Raw genomic sequence first — 26,752 nt, 5'->3', positions numbered from 1 at the left:
TGTATCTTTTCTAGGCATTAAAAATCAGTGTCTCCATGCTTTTGAATGTGGGAAGGCTGCATTTGTTCCCCAGGCTAGAAAATGAATACCCAAAAGTCAGAATAACGGTGGTTTCCAGTGCCTTTGTGAGAATTTCTGTTTTATCATTAACCTACAGATGGGTATGCGTTCTCTCAAGATGAAAATGGAATCGTTTCACAGTCTGAAGTGATAAGAGCATATGATACCACGAAACAGAGGCCCGACGAATGGTGATGGGGAGAGCCTGAAAGGCAGGCTCTGTTACCTCTCTAAGGAGAGCTACCAGGTTGTCACCGCAGTCTGCTAACCAATTCCAGTCTGGTCCATGAAGAGGAAAGGTAGATCTGAGCTCATCTCGCTGATGGACATTCAGATTCATGTATATTATAGACATAAGCACTGTGCAACTGTACTGTAACACCATCTCTTTTGGATTTTTTTAAGGTATTTGCTAAGTCTTTGTAAACGGAAATTGAAAATGACCTGGTATCTTGCCAGAGGGCTTTCTTAAACGGAGAATAAGTCAGTATTCTTATGCCATTACTGTGGGGCTGTAACTGACTGTCAGTTTATTGGCTGTACCACAAGGTAACCAACCATTAAAAAACTCTAAATGATATTTAGTTAAAGGGACTCTTGGTATCCAGACTTAGATTTCAGGATATGCTGAAACAAACCAGCATTCTTAAGGAACTGACTCACCTTCCTGAGCAAAATTTCTAAACAAGCATTTGTGTCCAAAATTGTCTTGATAAATGTTTGCCAAAGAGGTTCAGTAAGTGTTTTTCTAGTTCAGTAGTCATATGCCCAGAAATGTAAGAGAAAGTTTACTTCCAGTTCCGCTGTAAGATCTGCATGCCTGACTTTCCAAATGTAAGAGTGATTTACAAAAATGAATATTTCAAGGCATTTGCTACTAAAATCGGTGATGTTGCACCTTTGGCCTTACAAATGCTTCTTTGTTGTTTGTCGTGTTTATTTGTTAGAGGACACACGTGTTAATGTGACTCTGTTGTTATGACACTGATTTTTCAAACTATGTATGTTTCAGGTATTTCTGATGAAGTTTCATCATCATTTAGATTTTTCTAAAAATCTGGCTAATGCAGTAGATTGAGTGATGTCATTTTGTCTTAAAGTTTTTCCTCTTAAGAAACATATGCTACGTATTTACGTGGGATTTCCAAAGCTTCTGTTGCAATATTTGGAATAACATGTCAGATAAATGCATGGGCTTTTGTCCTGTGTTCCAGTTCCCACTAGAGATGCCTGTGTCTTGTGTAGCACACCCAGTGTTATGGTGACTGCCCCCTATACTGAAGACTGAAAATTATTTCACAGTTCACTCATCAAATAGTTCCCAAAATTCGTCACATGCTGCTTATTGGGACAAATAGGTAGTACATTTTCCCCATTTAAAAAATGCGGATTTTACTCAGGCCGGTAACTTTACAGTCAGAGGACACGTTCATCATGAGTAGCTTTTGTTAGTATGTTTTAAAATGTATCTTCAGTTCAATTATTTTCAGCATTTACAAGACATCTGAAAATGGCTATTTTGCTACCAACAGTAAATGAAGGGGCTGTTTAAAAACCACAACCAGTTTTCTACACTATTTTTTAAATAATACTTTCATTTGAAAAAAAGGAATTAGTTTTCAGATACACTTCAGAGATTGAAGCAAACTATTTGCCTTTTACTCAAAAGCCTGCTTGCCTTTACATGGACTTACCAGCAAAATAGGTAGAACTTTCTCTTTTAAAAAAAGTCAACTAGAATTGAGAAGAGGTGATTTTTTTTCAGATCGCTTCTCGAGTTTAATATTTTCACATTCTTTTCACCCTTTTTCTCAATCTAGATTTAAAATTAGGATATATGTCATTTCCTTGTCTGTATTTGTAGCTCCTTAGTTACCAGTATGCCTCTCCATTTTCTACAAATAAGAGGTTATAACACATATACATAATTCTAACCTTAAGGGAACACACGTTTACATACTTTACTTCCCAAGCCCTTCCTGTTTGGGGTACAGATTGAGAGAGTCATGAATCAACACATCTAGCAAGACCACAGGTGTAAGAGTCTAAGATCGTCTTCAAAATTCTGAAGTCCCAGTCTTTACCTGTCCAGTGAATGAATATTCAGAGCAGCTTTTCCTGGGCTTCCCAGTGGTGATAGCTGAGGTCAAACCACAAAAAATAAGAAAGCAAGAGTGAAATGCACCCCTCCAGAGAAACACTTTGTAGTGTTTAATTCTGTTAATAGAGAAGAGCTGCTTCTGTTTGCGCTCACTTCATCAGTGGCACCCTTCTGCAGAATTTTAATATAAAAACATTATGGATATAATAGAACTGGATTTTCTGACTTAAAAATGTAAGTTTTATTTTAATCTTGAAACGTGGATTGTTTCTGTGGAGCTCTTAAACATGAGAAGAATACTTACGGTTGATAATGTGTAACATGATCTGAAATGTGACTAATTTGAGCCTCTTTGTCCCATCGTCCTGTTTTTGAATTATTGACATTGTCAGTCTCTTTGCTTCCTGGGTGAGACTTGGGGTTTGAGGGACAGGGAATGACCTTCTTGGTGAAACTTAAAATATAACATTGCAATTGCAGTGACTTTACAGTGTTAAATTAGAGAAAATAGTCTGATTTTTTAAACCTTCCTTAACTGGAAAAAAGTCACATGGTTTTACCAGGATTGAAATAAACAGTCAATGTGACTTTTAACATGTGTTTTTTTGAAATAAAGGGCACGTACTCTTCAATTAAAAAGTTCCTTATAGGGACTCTGGCAAATGCTAACACAGTTGCTTTACAATGTTTACAATTCAGACAATACGACTTATAATAGAAAATCCTCATTCATTTAGCATTGAAAAGCTGGAAGTTGCTTCTTTAATGTTGAATAGTATACAGTGGTATTGAGCATGGACTTTCTAAATGTTTTATATATACATATAAAAATATATTGGTGTCTCACACCCAGAAAGATGTTATATTGTAGATATTATTAGGAAAACAGTGTTTCTCAGGAACGTTGTAAATTTTAAATGATATATGTACTTCCCGTCCTCCCACCTCCACTCTGTGCTCTAATGTGAGACTGCTTCAGCAGTGTTGCTAAGTTAATGGAAAACTTTTTCTAATCAAGTCAGGTGAATGTGTATTCTGCTAAATAATGTTAGCCATTTACATGAATTGTATGGTCATTAAATGGAATCAGTGATTCCTCTTTAATTTCCAGAGGGGAAATGAATTATGGAAATCAGTCAGCATTCTGATCATTAAATTTTATACTTTAATTTTGCCGTTCAGCATTCTAAATATCCAATGTGAAAGTCACATGATAATTTGTTTTGCATTGCGTGCACTGTACAACACTTACAACTTGTCATTTAAAATGTTTTCTCGGGAAATGAATGCTAGTCAGAAAGTAATAGATTGTATTATTCATAGTTTTAAAATTATGACAATGTCATAATTACTACAAAGCTAAATAATCGTGTTTATTTTTGTGCAGTTGCCCTTTGATAGTTCCTGGTTTTAAAACCTATTAAGTGTATAATCTTACAAATAGTCATCTACAAAATTTATGGAGAAAGTGCCCAGCCCATTCACATCACATGGACCAGGAATTCTTTTGTAAATGACTTAAGGTAACATCATGCAGTTCAGTGCCTAATAAATGCTTTTTAATGATGAACATTTCTATAATGACTCGTAAGATACCATAGTCTGATTTTTCTCACATTAAAATAACTGAAGTCACTTGTGTAACGTAGTTATACTTTGCTGCATTTTAATTAACCTTCAACAGCTATTAAAGTGGAATGTAAGTTAAATTTTGAAGGAAAGGAAATAAATGTTTTCCATATTTCGTCTTGATTTACTTTCTGTATGAGAACAGCTGTGTTTTTGATAGGTTTATGGTTTGCATGAGTTCATATTTAAAGTGATCCAGGCCAATGCATGGCTATTGCTGTAAATCTTGATGTTTATTTCTGCCTTGTAAAGTTCTATCACGGCCTACCTGGAATTTAAAATTCAGTAGACAAATTAATTGGTCCTCTGCACAACTTTTTTAATAAGTAGATTATTTTACAAAGAAATTTGAACAAATTTAATTGAATCTTTTGTTTAGCTTGCCTCTAAGAACTTTTCTTAATAAAGCTCCCAAAACTTCTCAGCAAATAAATCTCCCTTAAGTAGGAAAGCTAGATTTCATATTTGCTTACTTTGAATTAACAGCAACTTTCCACAGGTAAATCTGTTCTTGCAAAGATGTGAGCAGAATAGTTAAAAATAATATTTTTATGTTTCATGGTTCTAAATGGAAGCCATAAATGCAGTAAATACTATCTGTTGTTTAACTACTTTAATCGTCATTTTTTACATTTTCAAGTTTATTAGGTTAAGAAAAACAGGGCAGCCTTGGAAGGCAGCTACTACAGAAAACTGCAGTTTTGCGTTAAAGATAAAGTAGTATTTTCAGCTCCCTGAAAAACCATTCCTGCTGAAACTGCTGTAGAAATTGTGAAGCTGCATGAGTGGAGAGTATTGAATCTGTGGTTATAGTAGTTTTCTCAGGTTTGTTTATCTTGATGTTTGATGCACTGTGTTTTATAGTTATTAAAATTGAGTAATATTATTTCTATGCAGTGTTATGTGTCATTGGCCTTTTGTGAATGTGCATGTTTTAAACTGCAAATTTTAAACATTTTGTCCTCTAATTGTTATTAAAAATGAAATAAACTTTACCATTACTTAAAATTGTTGAAGTTTTGATTGCTAGTTCTAGAAATTATATTGCTTTCTAAAACCTTCAAATCCAGCAGTAACTAGTCTGAGAAGGTGTATCCCAGTGATTTATAAAATATCCCTTCATTTTAATCCAGCTAAATAAAACATGAAATGGAGTGTATTAACTCTAGTTTGGTAAGATGGGTAGTTTTTATAATTAGCAGAATTTTTTAATAAAATTACTGTGTTTTGTCACTTCAGTACGAAAAGCCTCCCAGGATTGTCCCTGTTGCATATTTAAATCAGCTTGCAAGTAAACAGCCTATTCATGGTTTCAACCTTTTATGTTGGATGAATTTGTTTTCTAAACCAACTAAACTGTTTTAAGTTCATGAGAAAGTGCTCAAGTTTAGCCAATAACATTTGAAGGCAGTAACCAGAAAATAATAAAATTGAGCACATGAGACAAAAGTATAGACAGCATCAGAAATAAGAACAATCACTTCAGCAAAAATAAGTGTCCTTTGGTAAAAGAGAAACAACTGAAGATACAATTAGGTAAATTACTAGAATAGGATTAGTTCTCAAAGAGGCGCTGGAGAGGCAATTTGAGGAGCATCTGATTTTATTAGACTGAGACCATGCGTGCTTACCTGCCTGGAGCCCCATGTCCTCTCCCACAGTCTTCCCAGGGACGACAATTGGGTGGGGACCTCCATGCAAAACCACAGCAAAACAGTTCATGGATATGTTACCTCTGAATTCTATCAAATAATTTTCACATTCAACTCCATTCTCCTTAAAATAAGCACGTGCTTCCACTGACCTGTATTTTAAGATGCCTTCTAATACTACCATAAGCAAAAAGCAAACTGGAAATACATTTCCATAAATTCAATATGTCATCTCCATTTAAATTTTGTTTTTGTATGCATAGGGCGTCTCTAAAGTTTTCAGTAACACAGAACTGCCTCACTTTAATGAAGAAAGGTCTTCCTAACCTGGATAATTTCATGAATAGGCTAATAAAATTTGTTGGAAAATATGAAATACCTCTTGCCATTCAGTTTTTATTACTTTCAAGTCATGAAACTAGCAATTTAAATAAGGATTTCCTGTCAGAATAATGTCATTAACTACTGTTTAATTGCAATTTTAAAATAGCCATGTACATACAAAAATATGTTAACAGTTTGTTCCCTTAATAGTTTAACATGCCTGTAAATTATTAGTTTTCCTGAACGTATACTAAATAAATATTTTAGATTATGCAAAGGTAAAATGATGCCAACCCAGTGAAATTTGTCAGATTCCTGGTTGTGACTGTATCTACTTTCAGGAAGTTTTTTGATTATCTCAGTTTAGAAAATTTCCTATGGATTCAAGTCAACCTGGTAAATTCTCCACCATGAGAAGTAGCTAATAATAACAAAAATAAAACAGCTGGGGAAAATAAGGAATTATCCATTTGGACAAGTGTACAATCTGTTCACTTTGGAACATAACCATTTTAAAGCAAATTTACTATGTCAAATGTGCTTTTTTTTGGTTAGAAAAGCACATTTATTTTAAAATAAATTTGTCTCAAAGGAACAGTTATTTTTTTGTTTGTTTCTGAGACGGAGTCTCACTGTGACACATAGGCTGGAGTGCAATGGCACGATCTCAGTTCACTGCAACCTCCGCTTCCCAGGTTCAAGCGATTCCCCTGCCTCAGCCTCCCAAGTAGCTGGGATTACAGGCGCCTGCCACCACACCTGGCTACGAATGTGCTCTCTAAAGCAGATGATGAAAGAAAGGTACAGACCATGAGTACCCAACAGGATGAGAGGATGCCCTATTCCAGACGAGCAGGAAGTTGGCCAAGTACCAAAGGGGCCCATGGGTTATCAAGGACTTACTTGATCAAACTGTAGGACCATTTTCTCTGTTCCCTACCCCTAATCAACAGTGATATCTGCCCTCCCGCAGTACTTAGCCTTTCATTTTTATTCTAAAGTATTTCATCTGCTTTCTGTTATTTATCCTTACTACACAGCTTTCTGCCCACTAGAATGCAAGTGACCTGAGACAGTGTCTGTAACTTCTTCTCAAGGCAACCATAAGCAAAAAGGTAGTACTAATGTCTCTATTTTACAAATGAGAAGACTGAGACACAGTGAATTTAAGTGGCCCAAAGTCACTCCACTTTTAAGTGACAGAGCCAGAAAACTAACCCAAGCATTACAGCTTCAAAATCCATGCTCAATCACCCTCTGGAATCCCATTTCTCATGTGTAAAGGGAGAAATATTTATCATCTAGTGTTTTTATTCATGCTTTATTTTATTCCACATTTTCATAATGCAGCATAAGCTCTCCGTGACTTACAATCCCCTGATATCAATAGGATATGTATAATATGATGCAATTGATCACTATTTCCCCAATAGATTTTCTGAAAAGTACATTGGATATTTTTGTTTTCCTCACAAAATTAGACCTCCTAGGTCTAATGTCACACAGAATGTAGAATTTCCAAGTAGACCACCTGGGTTCAGATCTGTCCCCTATGGTATTATCCGTCCTTGGGCACAGTGTTTAACCTTCTCGCCTTGATTTCTTCATCCGCAGGATAGGCATGATGATAATCCCTTCTTCAGGGTTGTGAAGATTCAGTGATACAATTCATAAAGCACTTGGGACACACATGGCGCTTAATAAATGTTATCCATTATTGGCATAACGACCTTTCAAAATGCAGAACTTCTATTTTTCACAATAATCGTGGCATGAGGATGTTGGATTCAAATTCTTTCTGAAAGTAACAAAAGCAGACAAGTTTCTGCTGTATTTTGGTGGTTTAGCAGATTGTGATGAGCAGCTCCTTGGAAACTCCAAAAGATTTTATTTGACCTTTGCAGCCTAATCTTTCTAAAATGGAGATATGATCCCATCCCCTCCCCTGTAAAATCCTTCCAGACTCCCTCTTGCATTTGACATCTATTCAAATACCATGGTGTTCAAGATCTCTAATCTGCCCCCACTTCTCTCTCCAGCCTCACTCTTCTTCTGGATTCTTTTTTTTGTTTGTTTGTTTTTGTTTTTGAGACGGAGTCTCGCTCTGTCACCCAGGCTGGAGTGCGGTAGCGCAATCTCAGTTCACTGCAAGCTCTGCCTCCTGCGTTCATGCCATTCTCCTGCCTCAGCCTCCCGAGTAGCTGGGACTACAGGCACCCACTACGCCCGGCTAATTTTTTGTATTTTAGTAGAGACGAGGTTTCACCATGTTGGCCAGGATGGTCTCAGTCTCCTGACCTCATGATCCACCCACCTCTGCCTCCCAAAGTGTGAGGATTACAGGCATGAGCCACAGTTCCTGGCCTTCTTCTGGGTTCTTAAATGTTCCTTGTTCTTTCAGGCTCATGGGTGGGTGCTTCTGTGCCTCTCTATGAATTCTTTACTCTGCCTGATATATTTTTTCCCTTATTTCCAGCCCCCTTCTCTTTCTTTCTCTGCCCTGTCTTCTTCATTCAAGTTCTACATGTCTTTCAAGGCTCAGGTCCAATGTCAACACCTCCAGGATGAACAGTGTCCTTTGTAAGTGCTGCCAGGGTATCCTGCACTCCCCTGTAATCGCAGTTACCACAAAGAGCAGGAAAAGATAACATGCTTCTTTTATAAAGCATCTATAACATTTTATCACAAGTATTTGTCTTTGTCATGATGCTGGGGGCTCCTTGAGTTGGAAGTGCATTTTAATCATCTTTTATTCATCTCACTCAGCACCTGACCCATAAGTGGTGTTCAGCAAAGAATTGTTGAATGGGACAATATCTAGAAATCTGCCACAAGATAGGCTTTTTACCTAAAATTGTGAATAATAATATCAGCTACCTGGCTTCCAGAGAGAAGGTCAAAGGCATGTACTGCATATCAATAATTACTTCGTGATATGATTTGATCTAGTATCACTGAATGCCATATTGCAATGAGGTACACAACATCTCTCTAATTTTAAACAATTTATGGCCAGTTAAATTGACTGGGGCATCCTGCTCAGGAAGGGAAATTTGCAGATGTGAACTCTCTATGAATTCCTTAGCATTAACTTGTCTAATGGACATAAACTGTTCTCCAAAGGGATGACAAATAAAAGTACAGCTACTAGAGAAATCTGGCAACTAGATGGTATTCAGTGGGGACAGTTCCACCCTCTAGGGGACGTGGTGGAATTGCATGGGGGAATCTTCCGCATTAGAGCGTTGGGGCGGAGGTGGATGTGCTACTGGCATTCACTGAGGGGGACTCAGTTGTAACCAAGATCCTACAATGCATGGAAGCAGCCCGCACAACAAAAAAGACTTGATGTCCATCGGCATGACTTTGGAATGTCCACCATTACTACTGGTGAAAAAAAAAACGTAATCCCATTTTACCTATATTTGTTGCACTGCCTTAGTATACACTGAATTCTTCAGATATACAGCCACTGTGCAAATCAAAGGATGATCAAACTTTGCTGGGAAAAAATCACATTAATGAAATCAGTGCGATTGTGTTTGAGTTGCCAGAATTACCAACTGCATCCGTCTGGATTTGAAGCTGTCACATCATGGTGATTTTGAATAAGGGGTTAGCATCTGTCTTTTTTAAGTCTGCCCAAACCTTTACATTTAGAAATAAGTTACTTCCCTTTCTTTCTTCTATTCACCATTGGGGCATTGTATTGATTTTTAAAAATTATGTGTGTAGTGAGTTATCTATAAATTTCATTTTAGGACTCATAAAGGGATGTCACAAAATATTTGTTCTAAGGAGAGCTCATTTTGGGGTCCAACAGGGCTGAGAATCACTGCCTTCGAAACTTAGGCTTATGCTCTTAAAATCTCCGATGAATTTTGTGCACAGAACCATCAAAATCTCAAAGCAGGTCTTCCGTTGCTGTTTGGATCTGTTTGTTTATGCATATCAACTCCAGTACAGACTAGCTGCAGGACCTTGGGCAAGTTGCTTCATTCCTTTGTGCCTCAGCTTTCGAATCTTTAAAATAGGAATTGTAATACTTTTCTGTTGGGGTTGTTTAGAGCATAAAATAAGTTAATACATACTAATACTTAATGCTTGGCTCATAATAAGAGCTTTAATAAGGTAACCTTAAAACCATTAAAAGGACCAAAATACTACAAACATAAATAAAACTAGTCTAATCGTATAGGAGTGCGCCCAAGATTATGTGTATAAATGTTCATCCTTTTACATGCAGCTGTTTCTTTCCTTAATTATTTTGAACAATTTGGGATACCCGGAAGTCAGGCCACTTTTAGATACAGGATAAAGCAGGAGACTAGAAGTCAGAGCCCCTCTGCCTTTAGACTGAGCAGAGGCCGAATATCTTTGAACTTGTTTCCTTAACTAGAAAATGAAGAGACAAGGCCAAACAACTCTCTTAGGACAGAATTCTGCCTCTAACTAATTGTGTTTGAAAACTGAGAGTGACATATGATAGTATGAATTCCTATAAATCTGGGCTTTCAAACCACACCTGCAGGGGCCAGGTAGGTAGCATAGCAAAAATAGATGGGCCAGGTGGGGAGACCAGGCAGGAGGCTGGCAAATGGCAGGTGTCCTGTCTGAAGAGGATTGACCTGACCCCAAGGCAGTGCAGGACCCCTGGTGCCACGTCCTCTATGTCATGAGAAGCCAGAAATCCAGATTCTTATGAGAAACGTCCTAATGATGAATTCTCTACAGGCCAAACACATCGGAGGGCTGTAGACTGAGACCTCCATAAAAATTCACTTCCTTTGCTGCTTTCACGAGCCCTGATATGGAATTTTTTTTTAATTTTAAAATATGAAGTATGTGTTAAAAACATTTCCTTTTTTTTAAAGAAGGATCGCTAAAGAGATAAAATGAATCACATTAAAATTTAAATAGAGTTCATGAAAATATAAAGTGTTTTATTTATTCTAATCCAACAAGATATATGCCCAAATATATAGTCATCAAACATAAAATTCAGGGGCACTGGAGATATATATAATATTAGATGATTATACCAATAGCTAGACTTTGAACTCCAGTTATTATTAACATAAAAATTACAGTATGACTACTAAATAATTAGTACAGTCAATGTGGTAAATACATTAAATTACAAATATTTACATTTGAACATAGCTCATTTTACAAATAAATGTTTTAAGCCCCAACTGTCCAACTTTCACTGAAACACTAAATGTTGCTGAACAAAAAGTCTGCAATAAATACTCCCTCCAGTGAGTGGGGGAAATGATTTTACATACACTCTGTGTTACAATGAATGTCTGAGTATATATTTAAAACTTTAAACTCCTCATGTGATTATTGAAACCTTGTATTCTGGAAAAACTCATATTGTAAACAAAATTTAGTTATTTATTTAAAAAGTAAATGTTCTCATTATGCTAATATTATTCATGGTTAGGTTACTCCCGAAATCATAAATAGATTTTTCACTGCCCCCTTAAGTTTACCTAATAGTTAATTTTTTAAGTGAACCTTTGATAATTACAATTAGGTATTTTTCTTTGCTTATTTATGAATATATTCCTATCATAACTCAATGAACAACTTATATGAAAAAGAAACATGTAGCCCTTTTCTAAGCAATATAGCTGAATGTCCAGTAAAACGTTTTTAGCCAGTTTGCAACTTTAAAGTCAAACTGCTGCATATTTTGAATAAAAGTAGCATAGATTGAAATGTAATGATCACATGTTTGCAAAACCAGAAAACAGTTCTCTGGTTTAGCCTTTCTGTGATTGGAGACAGGAACTTTCAAATTAGAAGGTGCTGTGTTTTCCTAGCATGCTCCTCCATGACACTGATCAGTTACAAGGGAAATTTTCTCAGAATTGCATGTGGCAATGGGAGCAGGGCTCCACCTGTCTGCCATCTGACTGAGTTGTGGATTCATGGCCTGGGCGTGTCAACTGGAACTGAAGTCTGGACAGCTCTTCCCAGGCAGTGGGGGCTCCTGCTGGAGGGGGTAAGCGAAATACTGGGGTGACACCAGGAAACCAGATGGCTGAGCCAGGTGGATTGAGTGGCTGGTGGTGTATGGCGGGGGCGGTGAGGGCACCAGGCAGCCCGGCTCAGCCCTGGCAAAGGAGAACCTGCGGATGGAGCCGCCTGTGGAGCTGGAGCTCGTGGCTGTGCTGGACTGCCGGGAGGGTGCCCTGGGGCTGGTGGAGGTCAGGATCATGGGCAGGGTCTCTGTCTGATAGCTGCGGAGTGAGAAGCGGATTGGCTGCTGCGAGGGCTCCTTGGGTCTCAAACAGGTGCAACAATAAATAGCCACTACAGAGCCCAGGATGATGAACGCAATGAAGATGGAGCCGACGATGAGAAAGGGGACGTAGACAGGCTCTAAAAGGCAAAAACAGACATAAACAGATGCTCAGATGAGGATCTCCCAGATTCTGAACTCTGCTTGGGCAGCTGAGGGTTGAGAGGTGGGAGACTCAGTTACTATCACTGCTGTCAGCTCAGTTTTTCAGAGCTTGTTAATGGTAACCTCCAAAATGCAATGCAAACCGTGATGATGGAATATTCTCGCTACTCCTAGCAGGGAGGAAGCAAACGGATACCGTAGCCTCTGTTAGCAATTAACTATCATATTGCACATCTGGAAGTCAGAAAAAAAAAACGGAATCTGTTCTCCTGTTCAGGCACTAGAGGGAAAGGGTGAGTTTTAGGGGTTAAAATAATTCTAGGTTTAAATGCAGGTTTTAGTAGTTTGATCACGGTGAGCAGTAAGAGACTTGTCCCCTCTCTTAGGCTGGCAATCCATCTCCCATTCAATAATCTCCAGTCTAAGCAAAGGGAGCCAGGCCTATTAAATGAGATTCCCCTCTACACACAGACCCAGGATTTTATGAGACTCCAGAAAGAACAGTATAAAGAAATTCACAGAGGGCCCCAATCGACTGTGTCTCCTACCATACACCACAAATTGCCAGCTCTGGCTGCTTCTTTCCAGGAAAGATTTGGAATACCCACTCCAGCTGCCGTGCCTCTCAATTCCCATCCAAGCCTGGGAAGTCAGACTGAACTTTAGATAGATCACCAGGCAATTCTTGGTGTCCACGGCCCAGACTTTCTATAAAAGCATCCCTCAAACAGAGCAAACTCCAATTTCCTTCTCTCTCTACAAGGCAGACATAAAATTCCCAAGCCCGGAGGCATCCCCTTGGGCAGTTCTCCAGGTCTCTCCCCTGATAGAGCCGTGCTAAGACGCAGCCTCCAGCTTACAGGTAGAAGAAAGAAAGCCTGCATTGACTAAGTCCCTACTGTGTGCCTGGCTCTTTCTTATTCATTATCTGATTAAAGTCTCTTGGAGACCCTGTGAGATGGACATGATAAGCTCCATTTTCCAGATGTGGAAATACATCAGAGAAGTTTGCGCATTCCCACAGACAGAGCTAGTGAGGGACAGGTAACTATCAATTATTTGTGGGCTACTAGGCGTAAGCTCTTCTGTGTCCCTCCCATTCTCCCTTGTTTACTAGCACCAGCGTGCAAGGCAAGGCAAAGGTAAGTAACTACCATTTACTGAGCCCTGCGCTCCAGCATTCATACACTCTCACGTCACCAACAACTTAACTCCTTTGAGAGCAATATGCCCACTTTAGAACTGAGAAGAGGTATCCAGAGCAGTTAAGTAACTTGCCCAAGTTACACCGCCGGCAAGTGACAGAGCCAAGGTCCATCAGGGTTTGCCTGATCCCAGACTCAGTGAGTGTGGAGACTGCCTCTCCCTTCTGCTGTCCTCTGGCATCCGAGCCGAGTAGGGAGCGCAGAGGAAGCCCGTGCTGCAGACTGGGCAATTGCACTTACTCCCAGAGGGCAGCTGGGTCCCCCAGGGTGAGCGAGTGAAGCCGTGGGGAAGAGTCTATATTTTTCTAACAGGCCAGGAGGGCCTAGATTTCCCTACTTTCCGCTGAGCATCTTTTCTCCAGAACTACTTCCAGAATCCTCTAGATTGGAAATGTTGACCCCCAACATTCACCCTCTAGTGGAGCACTAATGGAGGGCAGACTCCCCTGTCCTCTGGGTTATCAGTTTGCGGGGAGGGGCCGTTGGGGAACCCTTAATGATCTCTCCAGCCTCTCTTCCCTTTCCCGGCGACCTTCTCTTGCGGGCTCCAGACCTCGGCTCTCTGGAGTCCTGGGGTGTCACCCGCTCTCAGCTCCGCCCGCTTCTCCGGTTTCCCTGGCCATAAAACCCTCGCCTCAAGCTCTAAAGCGTTTCCCTGATGTTCCGATTCAGGTGGAAAACTTTTTTTCAAGGTGTAAATTTTCTCTGCTGGGGTCGTGATTTATTCCGCTCTGAAGTCAGCGGAAATTTGACCCGTGTTTTCCGAAGTGAGAATAGGGGGCGGGGAAGCCCCTTCGACCCTTGTTTCTAAATCTCCACCTCGAAGACCTGGGCATTTCTGAAAGGCGTGACAATAGGGGGTGGGCCGGAGAGGGTAATTCGATGCAGAGAATTGAAAGGAAGTCTGCAGAACGGGGCCGTGGCTTAGAAACGCTATCATTAAGACAGAAAAAAAAAGTGACTGGGGTTTCTTAGCCCTGAAGGGCTGCAAATGAGCGCGCGACAAGAGTCGCGATTCCCTGCATTCGGCACTTCCCGAAGCTCCCGAAGTGACAAGGGCGAGCAATGGGACACCCTCGGCCCCTCCACCAAAACCCAAGTCTACCCTGGCTTTACCCGCACTACCCTTCTCCCGGGAGCTCCAGCTGTCTTCCCCCCGGCTACCAGGCACAAGCCCCGCGCTCCTCACTGTCCCTGGCAAACTTTCCCTGCGGGCCGACCCGCAGAGACCGCAAGTGGCGGGAAGCGGGACTGCAAATGAATAGAGGACCATGATCTGAAACGCGACCACCCACTCATCCCTTGATTCCCCCACCCGGCCGCGTCCCCCTGGCGCACAGACCCAGGAAGGCGCATAGACCTGCCTGGGTCTGTGCATCCTCCCGCGCACACATGCAGCCGCCGCCGTTAGGCGGGCGGGGATATGTCCCCGAGGGCCCCGCACTTACGCGCAGTGATGCCTGGGTGCTCCAGTTCGCGGCGGTCGTTGGTGCAGCCGCCCTGCTCCAGCCTGGCGTCGGCCGCGGCGCAACAGTAGCGGAGCGCGCAGGAGCCGCAGCAGATGGTAGCGTCCAGCGTGTCGAAGTCCTCTGGGCACTGGAAGCCCTCGTGGTAGTTGCCCTGCACGTCCACCCAGCCGTGGCAGTACTCTCCGGACTGCTGGGCGCCCGCCGGGCCCCAGCGCAGCCAGCCAAGGAGAAGGCAAAGCGCCAGCAGTGCCCTCATCGCCACTGGGCTCCCTGGGCGGCCGGGAGCAGGACGCAGCTGGAAAGCGAAGGGCTGAGCCCGGGCTCAGGGCGCACAGCGATTCCGCCTCCCCAGGGACACGTCGCAAGCTGCTGGCCCCGGCGGCCGAAGCCAGTCCTGCGTGGGATAGCAGGGGCCGGGGAGGCGACAGGGGCTGCACTACGAGTTCCGCAGGCCGGGAGTCAGCATGGTGCGCGGGGCGAGTTGGCGAGGGCCTGCGGGAGGCGCCGGCAGAGGCAGTTGCTGGGGCTGTCGCTGCCGCCCTTCGCCCGGCTCATAGCGCTCCCCGCGCGAGGGGCGCGCCAACCCCCCGGCCACCTCCCTCCCCACTCCTCAAGGGAGCCATAGCGCCCGGGGCTGCCAACTCCAGCGCCGCACAGAGTCCCAACCTGTGGCGATCGCCGGGTCCCGAGAGGAGCCGGAGGAAAAGAATTTGTTCCCCACGTGCGAGTACCCCAGACAGGCGGCCGCTCAGCCCCAGCCCCTATCTGTCACAGGAGCAGGAGTCAGCTCCGCCGCGGCCAAGTACAAACGGCCGCGGGGTTGCTGACAGCTCTGCCCGCAAGGCGTCTTTTAAAAAGGAAGAGGGAGGAGGAGACAATGAGGGTTAAGAAAGAGTCCGCCCTCCCGGATCGCGCCTCTGGAGCTAATCACAGCGGGTGCGGCGCGGGCCGAGGGTCCTCTGCGCTTTCTGGTTCGCGCTCCATCCTCCGCCTCCCCCCGGCCACCCCCGCCCATGCCGCTCCCCCAGGACTTGACTCTCAACCTGAAGATATCAGACCCTCCCCTCCCCCGCCGCACACCCCAACTCTCTCACAGCCCGGAAATCTCTGCAGAGTGACGTTGAGGGCTGCCGAATTCCCGCGTTTATCCACGCACGTGGGCGCGCGAGTGGAGACGCTGGATTTACTTTTCAATGGATATAATGCATGAATGCGGTGCAGTCATTGAAGTTTGTCGAATCATCTGTGCCCTGTTGCACAGACTCAGACTCGTTCCTGGGATACCGCTTCTAAAGGTTCAGGACCGAGAACATGGTTTTTAGGTGTCGCCAACATGTGCTGAGCTTTCCACCTACGTTTCCACTTTTTCTGGGAGGAACGGCACATTTTCACAAGCACACACACACACACACTCGCACTTTTTCCGCCGGCTGAAGGATTGCCGGTCACCTCTGCCAGCCAAGGCCAGCTCGCAAAACCTCAAAGAGCACGACTTCTCCGTTCACGCCCGCAAAGGAAATAAAGGAGCAAAATTAATGATAATTGAGCAGAACTGAACTTCTGTTCAGGGAAAGAAACACATTTATTTAAATGATGTGTCCCCTGTGGGCTATTTTCAGGGGCACTGCTCCGTTAGCGGCCTAAGTGCCTTATGAAACTGGTGTTATGTGAAACCTGGGCCAAACGCAAGCATTTATTTTGACTGCATCCTGAACTTCCAATCATCGTCTATTGGTATGTGTGAATATGTTCGGTGTATCTCGGCTTATTTGTCAAACAAGCTGCATACCCGTGTCCCTGAGTTAGATGTCGGCAAGTTGAGTGAAACAAAAGGAACAAAGTGTTCTCAGCTCCAGCGACACAAGGTGCGCGGTCAAACGCATTTATCACGTTCGCAGCTTCCTGATGAACCGAGTCGATTCCGGAGAAACTTTTTTAAAAATCTCCTATTAAAACGATTTCTTTTTTTTTTTTTTTTATCTAAGTTAAAGTATATTCCAATTAAATAATTACTTCTGATTTCTAATTTTAGGTATTGGGATTAGCATTTAGTTATGTGGCTGCTGAAAATACATGTCCATTTCACACGTTAAGTGGGACCGTGTAAATATTTAACTTTATTGCTCTCTTAGAGTTACATATTTCTTAGGACAATACGAAGCTATTAAGTAAAAACAAATTAAGTTGGAGCTTTCAATAACAAACAATGAAACAGTTTTTTAGTTAAATAGTTTAAGCATATGGGAAATTGTTTTGCAGAAATTTCTTAGATATTGGGTTTTTTATTTACAAAAAAAAGGTCTTGCCAGACTTAATCTTTTTTTTAACTCTAGTTGTTTTTTAGGAGTGTTGTTTCAATTGTATATATATCCTGAGCAATTACAGGAAAATGTCACTTAGAAACACAGCAAAAATGAGATATAGTGATTATAATCAGATGATAAAAATTATGACATGTTTACTGCTAATAACTTTCCCAGAACCACACCTTTTAATATTAGTTTTTGTTAAAATTTAGAGGAATTTCATTACGTCATAACTGCATAAAGTTCTGCTGCAGCAGCAACCTTTGCTGGTCCCCCAAGGGTCAAGTTTCTCTCATTATCCAGCTGTTCTTTGATAGCATTAATATTTTAAGGAGTGATTTGTTGGCACTTACCTCCCATTAATTACATTCTCCATGCCACAGTGGGATTCTTTTTCCTGGAGACACCAGCTATAATTAATTCCCTCATTCAAAGCTCCTGTCTACTTGACTTATTTAGAGGGCATTTTACCCAAATTTAGTTGGATGATGTTTACTAATGGAAAGTAACCAAACCTCCAAATTACTTGATCCTTCGTAGATCTGACTTGTGTGAACAGTAAACAACTGTGCACCATGCTTCAGATCTAGGTCCTCATCCTAAGCACCTTTAAAACCATTACAACAATCAGCTTCAGGAGTTTGCCTGGGCGAGGGGTTGGGGGGAGGCAGTGATATGTTTGGTTTCTTGTCATAGAAGATCTCTGCAAACTTTCCATTGTCAAATTTTAACTTCAAAACTGATGCCCTGAGAATCCTTTTCACCAACAGAAAGAGAATATTCACCTCTTTTTAGATATATAAACATCCAAAGTTTTTGTTATTCTGTTACTAGTTTAATAGTAAAGGAAGATGAAAAAGTTCTCATAGACACCCCTGAAAGACTCTAGGGGGAAGACATAGAGATAGAAAATAAAGTCCACAATATCTGGGGTATTATGAAGAGGTTTTGGAAATTCTTTATTGTTTCTTATCTCAGTAACACAAATTCCTTATTTTGGTCAAGAACATAATCATAAGAGATCATTTCCCCAGCCTACATACATTCTCTTGTGGCCCTGCCTCAAGGAAACTCTGTAGGAAGTGAGTTAATTGACATGATGTCTGGACTATGCTTTAATAAACACCAGCAAGAAAGAAAGAGAGGAGAGAAAGGCAGAAAGAAAGGGAAAGAAAAGAGGGAGGGTAGGAGGAAAAAGAAAAGATAGGTGAGCAATAGGGATGAGAAGATGGGCTAGGCAGAACTGAAACACAACTGGCAACATGTAGATAACTGTAGCTGGCTGAAGGGAACTTATAAAATCGAAATGCAACTCTTTTTTTCTTTTCTTTTCCTTTTGTTTGAGACGGAGTCTCACTCTGTTGCCCAGGCTGGAGTGCAATGGCATGATCTCGGCTCACTGCAACCCCCATTTCCTGGGTTCAAGCAATTCTCCTGCCTCAGCCTCCCAAGTAACTGGGACTACAGGCACCCACCACCATGCCCGGCTAATTTTTGTATTTTTAGTAGAGATGGGGTTTCACCATGTTGGCCAGGCTGGTCTCGAACTTCTGACCTCAGGTGATCCGCCCACCTCAGCTTCCCAAAGTGCTGGGATTACAGGCGTGAGCCACTGCGCCCAGCCGATGCATTTAATATTCTTAGGACATATTTGCTGACCATATTTTTAAACTTTGTTCTGGCCAGACATGGTGGCTCATGCCTATAATCCCAGCACTTTGGGAGGGCGAGGAGGGAGGATCCCTTGAGCTCAGGAGTTCAAGACCAGCCTGGGCAACATGGTGAGACCCTATCTCTACTAATAAAAATATAATTAGCTGGGCATGGCGGCACATGTCTGTAGGCCCAGCTACTGGGGTAGCTGAGGTGGCAGGATCACTTGAACCCAAGAGGTGGAAGCTGCAGTGTGCAGCGGTGGCACCACTGCGCTCCAGCTTGGGTGAACAGTGATGCCGTGTCTCAAAAAAAATAAAAAAGAAAAAAATTGTTCTGTTGACTTATCTTTTTTATATTCTTTGGAGCTGAGTGAATGATTTGAGAAAACCAAAAGCAGGGAGGTGAAGGGCCACATGGATCAGAAAGGTTTGGGAACTAAAATATACTGAGGAAAAAGGAGGAAGGCTAAAGGAATGCAGAAAACAAAAACAAAAACAAAAAAGGGCAGTTCACTGGACTATGGAAGAGTCTACTCCAGCTCATTTGCATTGGCCTCAGAAACAAAATGAAAAACAAGAGTTCCTCAACCCTCCCTCAAGTTTGCTTGTGCAATGACTTGTTTTCACTCTCCTTTAATTCAGAAAAAAACACTTTAATTTAATTTTCCTTTAATTACCTTGCCCATGACTTCATGGAATTCTCTTCCTTGGATCGCTTGTTGTAAATCTCTTACTCCAGGCCCCTCTCAATCTGAGTTACTCGAAAGGTGTTTTCTCTGAAATTTGCTGTGGCACATGTTTACCCTAGAGAATAGCAAGGTGCCTAGAAGGACACTCTCAGACCTGGGCAACCCAGCCCCAGGCCAGGCCCCTCTTCCTGCCCTGTGTTTCGGGCAGCCTCAGTCTCTTCATTTACCAAAAGAGGGGCTTAAGCTAGGGCCCTTAGAGAGTGTTTCTCAAAAGGCCATGAAATACCTGGGAATCTTGTTAAAATGCAGATCTGGCCGGGCACAGTGGCTCTCACGTCTGTAATCCCAGCACTTTGGGAGGCCGAAGCGGGCGGATCGCCTGAGGTCAAGAGTTTGAGACCAGCCTGGCCAACATGGTGAAACCTCATCTCTACTAAAAATACAAAAATTGACCGGGCGTGGTGGCGTGCACCTGTAACCCCAGCTACTCAGGAGGCTGAGGAAGGAGAATTGCTTGAACCCGGGAGGCAGAAGTTGCAATGAGCTGAGATCACGCCACTGCACTCCAGCTTGGGTGACAGAGCAAGAGTCCATCTCAAAAAAAAAAAAAAAGCAGACCTGACTCTCACAAAGTCTGCAGTGGGGCCTGTGATTCTGCATTTCTAATGAGTTTCCAGGTGATGCCAAGTGGCTGCATTGAGGACCATACTCTGAGGCCCTCTGGCCTTCCTCTGCCCTGTCTGCAGCCACAGGGGAAAGAGTGAATAGAGCCAGAGGGCAGTGCCCACCCAAAGCCCATTCCCTCCCTTTTTGTACCACTCTCTGGGTCCTGGATCCCAGCACTCCCTACTCAAAGAGGCCAAAAGTTGCTTCTAGGCTGCACAGAAGCCTCTTCCTGATGTTAAGAGGTTCTGGCGGGAGGTGTTTCAAAATTTGTACACATAGGCTGGGATGCCCAGACACATACATGGGAGGCCCCTTGCAGTGCAAGATGAAGTCAGGTATGGGAAGAAAGAGGAAGTCAGAAGAACAGACTCAGGCTGATGGCTTTCATGACTTTTCCTGCCCTGGCTTGAAAATGTGAGAACGGGCCTGTTGTCCAGTATGTTATAGAGACTCTGTAAGTGTTCATACAGGGTATAAGGATTGATTGAATAAACAACAAAAGGAACGTTAGCAATTCCGTGGTATTAAACCACACACACTGCAATTTTGTGTTAGGGCATCTGTCTTCCCCATTAGTCTGACCTCCTTTTACTTTATTGGATCCTAGGACCTAGCACATAGTGGGTGCTTAGTGAATGGTGAATAAATAACTGGCTAAAACAATGAGTGGCTACTCGAGAACTTGTTGCAACTGAGTGACATCCGTTTCACGACTATACAGAACTGCAGCAGAGGAGAGCAGGATGAATTCCCAGGCAGGGGGTATTACAGAGTCATCTCCTGGTGATTTAATCATCACTGTAGTGCATGAAGAACTCTCCAGTGTGTCAGCACTGCCAGAATAGGGCAGTCACCAGCCCATCCCCCATGGAGAGAGTGCTGACACTTGTCCTAGAGAACAGAGATATGATGCAAAGACAATCGGCCAGGACAGGAGAGTGTGCGTCTTACTAATCACATGACCTTGAGCAAGGTCATTTCTGTGTACTGCACTTCAGCTTTTGTGTCTCTAAAATGAGGGATGTGGGAAGGAGTAATCCTTACCCTGAAAGATTATTGTAAGGATTCAAAATAAAACACATAGCAAGGATGCAAAATAAAACATGGAGTGTGGCACAGAGTTGGCACTTCATAACCAGTAGGTATTATTATTACCCACCACCAGCTGATTTGAATCTGTAATCAAATAATCATGGCAAGTTTCCTGCTAACCAGAGTAGGCCTGTTCCCCGATTAATTTGAATAGATTATTTACAGTTCCCCTTCATTCATTCCCTTATTCATTAAATATGCCCATTCATAACGACTGGCAATTGAATGTTGATTATTCATTTTTACAGTTGTTCTCCTGAGACATGCCCAAAGCTAGGAGAAGAGGAGGATGAGAGAGGGTGTCAGATGATCACAGTGTAAGGACAGGCCTTACTGGACAGACCTTATTTCAGCTGGATTTCTACAAGGTGTAGCCCCAAGCACAGGTGGGCATTTAATAAGTATCCGATTAGTCTGTGATTCCACATTATGTCGGTAGAGCTGTAATTTATTAACTTGGGCTCCTGGCATCCTTCCAGTGCATGTATAATAGAATGACATTTTTCATGCAGAAATATAAATTAAATTAATTGGCATCCATATTTAATTGAAATTTCCTTGACAGTAGATGGATTCTCCCCTAACACCACCCCTTTCTCAGCAAGGGGCATTTCCTTCTGAGTGCTTGCAGACTGAAGAGAGGCCAGCCCCCATTCCTGGGGCTCCCCGAGGAGCTGGCTTTCAGCAGGGTTTAGAGCAGCACGAAAAGTGAACTGACCCTGGAAAAATGGTAAGTTGCTGCTCAGCGGCCATGTGTGCTTTTGGTGGGGGAAATATTTTATGGAGGAGAAAGAAAACACAGAGGGTTCTTGTCTTGTTTCTGTCTTCTTACTTCCCTTTTCACTTTTACCAGCCATAACAGAATGTTTTGAGAATTTTTAAGTCACCTTTAAAGTTTGTAAATCATGTGGAAATGATTTACATTTTTGCAGCGTTCTTTTTTGAAAGCTGTTATGTAATTGCTTGCCAAAGGTATCTTTTATTTTAATTTTTCTCCTTCTCAGGTAGTCTGGGTTTGGTTAGCTCTGTTGGTAACTTAAAGGGCCAGTAAGGCAAAGGTCTTGATTTCCGTTCCTGTGGGTCAACGACGTTTCCTCTGTATCGGGAGTACAGAATGCACACTTGACCCTGGCTTGCAAACACCTGCTGTGAGTTATTCAAGGACATCAGCCAGAAAAGTTGGATGTAATAGATACAATCAGATTATGCAGTGTGGCAAGTGAAGTCAACGTGATACCCTCCCACAGCAAATGGGTCAATAGTGCTGTCTTCATTAATGACGATTCAAAACACTTAACACCTGGCATGCCCTTCATCCTATCATAATTGTACTTTGAGGATGCTTTCTGCTTCATATTTCCACCTGCTGATTTTGTTCAACCACTCATTCTGTAATCACCCTCATTTTGTACTTCTTTAATGTACTTTTTATCATCAAAGGCAAAAAGAAATCTTGTTCTTAGCATCTTTCTTGGTTTCTCTACTTGAATTGGAATTGAAGTAGCAACCAAAGTTGTAGCTGTCTGCAATGCTATTCCAGTTAAGCATGTCAAAGACTGAGATTCAGTCACTCTTCTTTTTTTTTTTTTTTTGAGACAGAGCTTTGCTCTGTCACCCACGCTGGAGTTCTATGGCGCAATCTCAGCTCACCACAACCTCCGCCTCCCAGGTTCAAGTGATTCTCCTGCCTCAGCCTCCCGAGTAGCTGGGATTACAGGCATGCACCACCATGCCCGGCTAATTTTTGTATTTTTAATAGAGATAGGGTTTCTCCATGTTGGTCAGGCTGGTCTCGAACTCCCGACCTTAGGTGATCCACCCGCCTCAGCCTCCCAAAGTGCTGGGATTACAGGCGTGAGCCACTGCACTTAGCCGAGATTCAGTAACTCTTTAGTGTATATGCTACACCCCTCCCCTCGTCCTAAAAAGAGTCTCACTCCATCACGCAGGGTGGAGTGCAGTTGGTGCCATCTTGGCTCATTGCAACCTCTACCTCCCGGGCTCAAGCAATCCTCCCATTTAAGCCTACCAAGTAGCTGGCACTACAGGCACGCAACACCAAGCCCGCCCAGCTAATTTTTTGCATTTTTGGTGGCGACAGGGTTTTGCCACATTTCCCAGACTGGTCTCAAACTCCTGAGCTCAAATAATCTACCTGCCTTGGCCTTCCAAAGTGCTGAGATTACAGGTGTGAGCCACCGTGCCAGGCCTACTGTCAGGTTCTAAATTTAAGTTACTTTATTGATAAGAGAATGATTTACATCTGCCATACAGGACCTATCTTTCTAATCTATCTTGCTTGATTTTTCTCCTGGTCTGAGCAGAATTCCTCTCCCTTACTTTAATAAGAGTACCCGACTTTCTCCCATTCTGTGTTGGCTTAGAGAGACTGTCAATCAGTGCTTCACTCCTGGCCAAGGGTTGGGCCTGAGATCTTGCTGAAGAAATCAGAATTCCTTATCTCTCTGGGCCCATCTGTCCACAAGCTGTCTTATGTGGACAGTGGGGTTGGGTGGGGCTTCTCCTTCTACATTGTGAACTGTGTGCTTGGGGGAGTCAAAGACATGCTCCCTGCCTTGTAGACTAGGCCTAAGTGAGAATAAGACCAACTCAGAGGCAAGAGAAGCAAAAGAGAGAGACCTAAAATGTTGGACCCAGTTGCACTTGCAGGTAACACTGTGCTGCTCATCCCTATGACATAAGACAATACACTGACTTTCAGCTTAATTCAGTCTGGATTGGAGTTTGAGGGGCTTTTTTTGCTTGTTTGTTTGTTTATTTGTTTGTTGAGACAGGGTCACCCAAGCTAGAGTGCAATGTTGCGATCATAGCTCACTGCAGCTTCTACCTCCCAGGCTCAAGTGATCCTGCCATCTCAGCCTCCGAAGTAGTTGAAACCACAGGCACATGCCACCACACCTAGCTAATTTTTAAATTTTTTTGTGGAGACAGGATCTCACTATGTTGCCCAGGCTGCTCTCAAACTCCTGAGCTCAAGCGATCCTCCCACCTTGGCTTCGCAAAGTGCTGGAATTACAGGTGTGAGCCACTGTGACTCGCCTTGGATTGGGTTTTGATCACATATAACTGAAGGCATCTTGACTGCTATGATAAATATTATGGAGAGAGCTTTAATAAATGGCTGCTGCCTGTAGTTGTTGGGACAGTGAAGCTATGAAAACAGAAGGATGTGAAAGCACAGCATCCGGAACTGTATAATGTATAATGAGATGTTCCATCCACCTCATTAGGCCTTTGGGGCAGTGTGTTTCAGGCTGTAGGTCACAAACACATCAGATGGGTCATGAAATCAATTTAATGGGACATAAATGGCATTTTTTCAAACCTAGAGAACACTAGAAAATAGAGAGTACATCACACAACAAATTAAAGGTAGATTCGATTTCATGATGTTTTATTTCAGGCATGTGTGTATGAACATATGTTCTTGGTAGTGATATAAAATTTGTTTTTTACTGAGGGACATGATCAAAACATTTGAAAGTCACTGCTTAGAACAAAACTGCATGACAAATTTGAATAGAGTAGAAGGGTCAAAAGTTTAGCATATTACTATTCATAGGTTCTTTAAAAAAAAAATTTTTTTTCTACTGCTGATATTTTGTCCCTTCTTGCTAGGCATTCGAGTATACGAGAGATGGTTGGGACGCATGCTTGGAATTAAAGTAGTTAATTAAAAGTGTATCAGGCCGGGCGCGGTGGCTCATGCCTGTAATCCCAAGACTTTGGGAGGCCGAGGCAGGTGGATCACAAGGTCAAGAGATTGAGACCATCCAGGCCAACATAACCTGTCTCTACTAAAAATACAAAAATCAACCCGGGGAGGTGGCGCATGCCTGTAGTCCCAGCTACTCAAGAGACTGAGGCAGGAGAATCGCTTTAACTTGTGAGGCGGAGGTTACAATGAGCTGAGATCGCGCCACTGCACTCCAGCCTGGTGATACAGCGAGACTCCGTCTCAAAAAAAAAAAAGAAAAAAAAAAAGTGTATCAGACTCTTCTACTTTAAGAGAGTTTCTCTGGATTATTTATTCAGTTAGTTTGAGGCTCATCTCTTTAGGAGGGCTGTTTTGCCCCCTGGTCTTCACCCCTGAGTGTAAGGGGTAGGGGAGAGAAGTAGCTTACCTTGCCCTGGGAGGGCAAGAGAGTCTGACTGCCCTCGCTGTTCTCCGGATCTCACTGTTGCCTGTGCAGGGGCGCTAGTCTGACCCAGTTTCTGGGAGGAATCCTCTGAAGAAGTCTGTGGTTGGCAAGCACTTGGTTTATTTCGAGGCTTGGAAAGGGCCCATGACCCTCCCTTCCCAGGCTGCCCCACTCTGGCTTTCATGGGTGCTGTGGACATTGCTATCCTCCCTGCACCCCTGTCTAGCTTGTAATGAGCAGTTGACCCCTTGTCATTGACCACAGGGTAAATCACCCTCACCATGTGATATGGTTTGGCTGTGTCTCCACCCAAATCTCATCTTCAATTGTAACTCCCACAATTCGCACATGTTGTAGGAGGGACCCGGTGGGAGGTAATTGAATCATGGGGGTGGGTCATTCTCATGACAGTGAATAAGTCTCACAAGATCTGATGGTTTTATAAAGGGGAGTTCCCCTGCACAAGCTCTTTTCTCTTGTCTCCTGCCAAGTGAGACATGCCTTTCACCTTCTGCCATGATTGTGAGGCCTCCCCAGCCATGTGGAACTGTGAGTCCATTAAATCTATTTTTCTTCCCATTCTCAGGCATGTCTTTATCAGCAGCATGAAAATGTACTAATACACCATGGCAAAGCCACCAGCCGGCACATCAGCTATCTTCCATGCTTCCCCATACAGCTTGAGGAACCCTTCAAATCCCTCCACAATCCACACAGACCTAGACAGGTTCCAAAGTGCTAGTTGAATCTCTTTATCTTCTTGGCCACCTCTCACTGCCATTTTAACTGGTTTCCTCACTTGGCAGCAAGCAGGGCCCACATCATGGCTGACTCCCGCGAGAGCTGAAACAGAGAAAGAGGCAAACCCCACTCTGCTTTTGACCTTACCATGAAGTTTCCGCTACCCTCCCGTCTCACATGGACTTGGAAAGAAGTAACCAGAATACACTTGTCTCACCAATTGCTTCTTAACTTTCTACCCCTTCTTTTACCACACACTCCACTGGGGCCAACAGGAACAGGCTTTCCCTTTTCTTCCATGAATCAGGAACTTCACTGACATCATTTACTGAGTTCTTATGACTTTTTTTTTTTTTTTTTTGGACATGGAGTCTCCGTAGCTCAGGCTGGAGTGCAGTGGCACGATCTCAGCTCACTGCAACCTCTGCTTCCCTGGTTCAAGTGATTCTTCTGCCTCAGCCCCCCGAGTAGCTGAGACTACAGATGCATGCCACCACACCTGGCTAATTTTGTATTTTTAGTAGAGACAGGTTTTCACCATGCTGGCCAAGCTGGTCTCAAACTACTGACCTTACATGATCT

General features: G+C 42.9%; 2 protein-coding genes and 1 long non-coding RNA gene across 12 annotated transcripts in view, besides 3 other annotated features; 2 read left to right on the top strand and 1 right to left on the bottom strand.

The window, feature by feature from the left end:
- Positions 1–4,798, top strand: part of ATP8A1 (ATPase phospholipid transporting 8A1) — a 248,733-nt gene extending 243,935 nt beyond the window's left edge. For all 10 annotated transcript variants that reach the window (NM_001400027.1, NM_001400026.1, XM_047449508.1 and 7 more), the window contains one exon: positions 158–4,798. In NM_001400027.1, coding sequence (NP_001386956.1) covers positions 158–255 — 98 coding nt within the window. In that variant the 3' untranslated portion in view covers positions 256–4,798. The remainder of the gene's footprint in view (positions 1–157) is intronic.
- Positions 4,799–10,683: 5,885 nt separating this feature from the next.
- On the bottom strand, positions 10,684–15,683 carry SHISA3 (shisa family member 3). Its single transcript, NM_001080505.3, has 2 exons — positions 14,838–15,683; positions 10,684–12,159 (listed from the first exon to the last, which is right to left on the bottom strand). The coding sequence occupies exons 1-2, from the start codon at positions 15,112–15,114 to the stop codon at positions 11,720–11,722; spliced, it is 717 nt and encodes a 238-aa protein (NP_001073974.1). The 5' UTR covers positions 15,115–15,683; the 3' UTR covers positions 10,684–11,719.
- Positions 14,170–14,219: a silencer, noted in NCBI's record as "silent region_15393". NCBI's record gives its function as "represses an Ori minimal core promoter by ATAC-STARR-seq in GM12878 lymphoblastoid cells {active_cell/tissue: GM12878}" and the evidence as "EXISTENCE:reporter gene assay evidence [ECO:0000049][PMID:35858748]".
- Positions 14,746–15,635: an enhancer, noted in NCBI's record as "H3K4me1 hESC enhancer chr4:42399553-42400442 (GRCh37/hg19 assembly coordinates)". NCBI's record gives its function as "activates a minimal SCP1, AML or CMV promoter by ChIP-STARR-seq in naive H9 embryonic stem cells {active_cell/tissue: H9 hESC(naive)}" and the evidence as "EXISTENCE:reporter gene assay evidence [ECO:0000049][PMID:30033119]".
- Positions 15,860–15,939: a silencer, noted in NCBI's record as "silent region_15392". NCBI's record gives its function as "represses an Ori minimal core promoter by ATAC-STARR-seq in GM12878 lymphoblastoid cells {active_cell/tissue: GM12878}" and the evidence as "EXISTENCE:reporter gene assay evidence [ECO:0000049][PMID:35858748]".
- LOC105374428 (uncharacterized) overlaps positions 21,903–26,752 on the top strand; it is a 92,257-nt gene continuing 87,407 nt past the window's right edge. The window contains exon 1 of the long non-coding RNA NR_134668.1: positions 21,903–21,996. This is a non-coding gene — a long non-coding RNA (uncharacterized LOC105374428). The remainder of the gene's footprint in view (positions 21,997–26,752) is intronic.

This window comes from Homo sapiens, chromosome 4 (assembly GCF_000001405.40).
Source record: "Homo sapiens chromosome 4, GRCh38.p14 Primary Assembly".
NCBI classification, from domain to species: domain Eukaryota; kingdom Metazoa; phylum Chordata; class Mammalia; order Primates; family Hominidae; genus Homo; species Homo sapiens.
Note: the sequence above shows the minus strand (reverse complement) of the source record. Positions and strands in the feature narration are given on the sequence as shown.